At 36.3% G+C, this 5282-nt stretch overlaps 1 protein-coding gene across 16 annotated transcripts in view; it reads right to left on the bottom strand.

Moving 5' to 3' along the window:
- Positions 1-5282, bottom strand: part of SYT1 (synaptotagmin 1) — a 588027-nt gene that overhangs the window by 305875 nt on the left and 276870 nt on the right. The gene's annotated exons all lie outside the window — the stretch shown is intronic.

The raw sequence follows: 5282 nt of genomic DNA, 5'->3' as shown, positions 1-5282 counted from the left end.
GTGGTTTTTGTTTTGTTGTTGTGCTGTTAGCTTTTTGCTTTTCCCTCTCCTCCACAGGACTTAAAACACTATGTTTAGGCCGGGCGCGGTGGCTCACGCCTGTAATCCCAGCACTTTGGGAGGCCGAGGCGGGCGGATCACGAGGTCAGGAGATCGAGACCATCCCGGCTAAAACGGTGAAACCCCGTCTCTACTAAAAATACAAAAAATTAGCCGGGCGTAGTGGCGGGCGCCTGTAGTCCCAGCTACTTGGGAGGCTGAGGCAGGAGAATGGCGTGAACCCGGGAGGCGGAGCTTGCAGTGAGCCGAGATCCCGCCACTGCACTCCAGCCTGGGCGACAGAGCGAGACTCCGTCTCAAAAAACAAACAAACAAACAAACAAAAAAAAAAAAAAACCACTATGTTTAAATCTTGGGTTCTGGGGTCCAACTATTTGGGTTTGAAAAATTAGCTGTGTTATATTGGGGAAGTTATATAAAACATTTGTGCCACAATTTACACATTTGCAAAACTAGGCTGTTGGTAATGATGTCAATCTCATTGGGTTGTTGTCATGAGTAGTAAATTTTAATATGTAAAATCATTAAAAATGGTCATGGTGTTTTGGACATTGTAAGCATACATACCATACACTTGTTAGCTATTACTAATTATTGCATGTAAAGAATTAGATAAAAAATTATTAAAGTCATAGAAAGAATCAGATAAAAATAAATATTAATTTAAATATTTCTGATGAGTTATGAAGATTATGATCTTTAAAATTCACATATAACAAAATGACAAAGGTTGTTAATTCATATTTTTTAAAAATGTTAATATTCTAAATAAAATTAGAAAAATATGTTTTTAATCAAGATGAGTCAAAGCTATAGAGATTTATAAAATTAGATAATATATTATTAAGCATGTATAGTACACATTCCAGAATATTAAGTGGATTTGTTACCATCTAAAGCATTTAAGGGAAGAGTAGAAATGAACAAGAGTAGTAATTTGGATGCTGTCCTGTGTACTTTTATATGCATTATCTAGCTTGATCCTCATTAATATTCCAATATTATGGAGTAAAGTGATGTTCTTTATTTTCTATACAGGTAAACTGAAGCTTAGAAAGTTGCTAATACCAAGGTTCTTGCTCTTTCTATGATGTTTGTAGGAAAAAAACAAATTGTCCAGGGCAAGGTCAGACTCTGAAACTCTTCGTTACTGAGGGTACCAAGCTCTGAATGTGTTAAACACTAACATGACACAAAATTTAGAAAGTGCCTTCAGGCTATAGCTAAATAGGATGAAACAGTGTTTTGATTTTGACAGTGCAGATGGATTCAAGAGTATTTCTCCCCTGAAAAGGTAAAACAGAATTATTGGTAATTTAAAGTGAAAGCTTATTAGAAGCTTATCCCACGCCAATTTCTTGGGAAATAAGTCTCTTAAACGAAATGAGCCAGGGTGTGAAGAGGTTTGAGAGGTATTCTGGTCTTCCTAGTGTCGGGTCAATAGTTGCACTGGCTGACCCAGATGATGGGTCTTGTTGCAAGAGCCATCTACCTCCTGGTGCTGTCTAGCCCAGTTTGTTTGTAAATGGGAATTGTACATCCTGGGCCATGGATGCCTGGCATCTGGATGCTCTTGGAAAGGGTCCTTGCACAGAAAATCAGAAGCCTCTTTCCCTTATCCCAATGTGGGCTGAGGAAACTGCTGAGACATGCCCTTCTGGGCGGTGGGGTAAAAAAGGAAGCGTCTTACTGAAAAATGTCAGGGAAGGGATTTGAGCCCTGGGACTGATAGCTCTGTTCTCTATTATATTTTAAAGAACCCAGTATTTTATATACACTGCTGAATGCATAATCCTTGCTAATAGGTGTTATTGACTCTGCTTTTCCTGTCCACTTTTGAGATTCAGGAGAAATAAGTCTGGTGCCTGCCAGTATATTCCACAGTTGTAATAATAGATGGCACACTTTATTGATAGAGACTGAAAAGTAATTTGATGCATTGTAAACTAAATGAGCTAATTTTGGAGGAAATGACAGATCAAGGAGGTGAGGATGGATGTGCCATTAGCTGAAGCCTGTTGCAGTCAAGTGTGGTGTGCTTTATCTTCCCCAGTACCTAAGACTCTCTACTTAAGAGTATTTCAGGAAATCCACAATCATGGCACAAATCCACATCACAGCAGAGGACCGCATCTCCCAATTTGTTTTCTGGCAATATGTTAACAATTTACAACCTGAATTCATACTTCTTTCTTTCGGCTTTAGAAAGATCTGTAACCTGAGCTAGCATATTCTTTCAACAGCAAACCACAGGCCTGTAATCAGTATCTGTAATATAGTCTAATTAACTATTCTTTTAAGGGGGGAAGTAGAGGAGCATTTTCCAACGTTGCTCGAGCTGAATTCTTTTCAGTTTCATCAGAGAATGTGATTTTTAATGAAAAATTAAAAAAAGAATGTTTTAAGGAATTTGAGGATGACTACTTGTTCTGATTTTATGTTTTCAAAATAATACTCAACATAAAATGACTGGGTTGTGGGTGAAGCACAATCTAAATCTGCAGCAGTGTCAACATTTTCTTTGATTTTCTTATTTGATTATAGCAGCCCCATCAGGGCTGAGCACCCATCACTGCTGTGACTCAAAGTTCCCTACAAAAATGACAATTGAGCTCAGAATATTGAATCTTTTTTTCTTCTATGCCAAAGAAAGACTAAACTTCAATGTAACAAAATGGTTGAGGATATAAACCAGTGAAAGTTACCAGTGAGCAAATTTACATAAGCTTACCTAAAAGAGGGCCTAATAAGTTGTACTATACACATGAAAACGCTGCAAAAGACAACAGTATATAATTGTAAAGGTAATTTAATTAAATCACTTTCTGGGTTGGATGTTATGTGTGTATAAATGATGCTTACTAGTACCATTGTTCCTATGGTAACAATTGCTCCTAGCAACATGGAAAGATCTTAACAGGGTCTGTTCTTAAGAATCCATTTTTGGAGTATCATCAGAGAAAACTGTATATTGCTCTCTATACCTAATCACCCATCTTTTTTTTAAATGTAGGATTTTCTTAGAATCATAGACCCACAAGGTTACATGAAGACAATCTAGGGTTTGAAGTTTTGTTATTATGTCTGCTTCTCACTTGCCAAGGAGTTGTACTTGACCTCCTACTTTAAAATGCACTTGAGACATAGACCATGCCTATTTCAATTTTCTGCAAGCAAAAATGATATTCCTCCAAGCATTCTGCAGCAGACACAAATCCCATAAAGAAACTATTCTCTGGTTCAGAACACTGGAGGACTCATACACAAGCATATTCAACAGTAAGTGATGGAAGTCTAAAAAGAATTCTGGTTCTCCAGTGATTAAAAGCAATGATAGCTATTTTATTCTTTGCTCAAAAGACAAATGAGAGTTCTTATGAAATTATGAATTGCCTAGAGTTTATTTCTCCTCATTTTACTAATATTTGAATTTGATTGATTAAATTTTGCTTCACCTGCAAGCATTTTGCCAAATGGAAATATTCCATTCCATCATTTTAGTAAGGGATGGTTTCTTGGCATGTGAGATTAATAAAAAGTCGTATTTCTAAGCTCTCATGATTGGTCCACATGGAAGTTGATTTGTTTTTCTTTACATCTTTTTATGGTCACATTTTTAGTATACTTTATCCAAGCCAGCCCTCTATTTATTTCTACATTTTGTCTCTCCCAGGACACAAATATATTAAGCTCCATCCCCACAAAGGTGAAAAATGTAAGTTTTCAAGTTGTAGCAAAGTTGTAGCTTAACTTCTCAATAATTTCTCAGCTGTAACTTTAGAGCATTAGTAGTGAAGGTGAGACGCTTACCTGGCACCACAGGGATCCCTCGCTTTGGAATTTTGCACAGGTGTGCTGTAATATGAGTGAGCTGTGAGTCCCCAGGTATAACTCTGGTCTGCAATGTCTGTGCGTTAATCATTCAGCAATGATCTGACATTTCCTGAGGAGCTTTCTTGAGATATGCACAGGCACACAGGATTACTGCATGATGCTTGGAACCCATTTCTTCCCTGGCTCTTGGCAATTCTGTTCATGCCTTACACAACAAGCTACTCAAGCACATTCAAGGGCATTCCCCAAGAAACAATATGCTAATTCTGCATCTCAAATTGCTGCCAGTTAAACAGGGTTCTGATGCACTTGGGCAGCACCCTGAAGAAAGAAACCCAAGCCAATGACATACACTGTTTAACCTAATGAATTATGCATCTGAAGGCAAGGTGTCCTTATGGCCCTATGACGTTTCTTAGAAAATATGGGCTCCATAAGACAGAAAAAAATTGTGGGAGCATTAGAAGCAATGAATATCATACACAAGGCTCAAATTAATTATGACAAGTGGAATATGTCTGAATATCAGTTTATATACATTTTAGTAGATATCATCTTGTTTTTCATGTCTAAATAATCATTGCTAATCTAGATATTTTTTATCTTTTTCCTAATTATTCAATGACTCCTCTTTGTCTCATTGTCAGTGCTAGAACAACATTAGTTTTACTTGTTTGGACTATGAAATTCAAAATAATTTAATTATAATATATTTCTCATGTTTTTCAAATATATTAACCTATATAACCACAATAATATAAATGGAAGAAAACAAAATGAATAGCTTATTTTAGTTAAACCAGCATGTCTAATATTATATATATTATGTGCCTAAATAATAAGCTTAAGAAATGGCAGAGATACAAATACGCATTATTTGTACATTTCCAAAGGAGTATAATTTTGAAGAAATAAAGAATACATAGAGTGTCACAGTATATTAAAATATACAATTCCTTAGGTTTAATTAGGAAAAAAATTAACAGACAATATTAATGTACCAATGTATAGACTGAATTTAATCAGATAAAGCTGGTAGGGTGAAGGAGACGAGTATGAATAAACATCATATGGAAGGGCAAAATAAATATTTGTTGCTGAATTAAAAACAATACTGAACTTTGATATCTCAAAGAAAACAGATGGCATACATGCTTGTTTCCACAGATAAAAATAGTTTTTGTTTTAACAAAATTCAAGATAGAAAGCAAGGGGCAAAACCTGGCTTCCATTTTTCATGAGGAACTCTTAGGAAGCTAACTCTCTTGGCACTGTATGGCTTTGACTGCCAGTTCATTCAGATGTCGGCAAGCTGAGCTCAGGGTGAGGTAGTGACTAGAGGACTTATGCCAATCAACAATGTGGTTTTTTTGAGGGAAGCAAACAGT

This window comes from Homo sapiens, chromosome 12 (genome assembly GCF_000001405.40).
Source record: "Homo sapiens chromosome 12, GRCh38.p14 Primary Assembly".
Lineage (NCBI taxonomy): Eukaryota > Metazoa > Chordata > Mammalia > Primates > Hominidae > Homo > Homo sapiens.
This window is presented reverse-complemented; position numbering and strand designations above follow the sequence as displayed.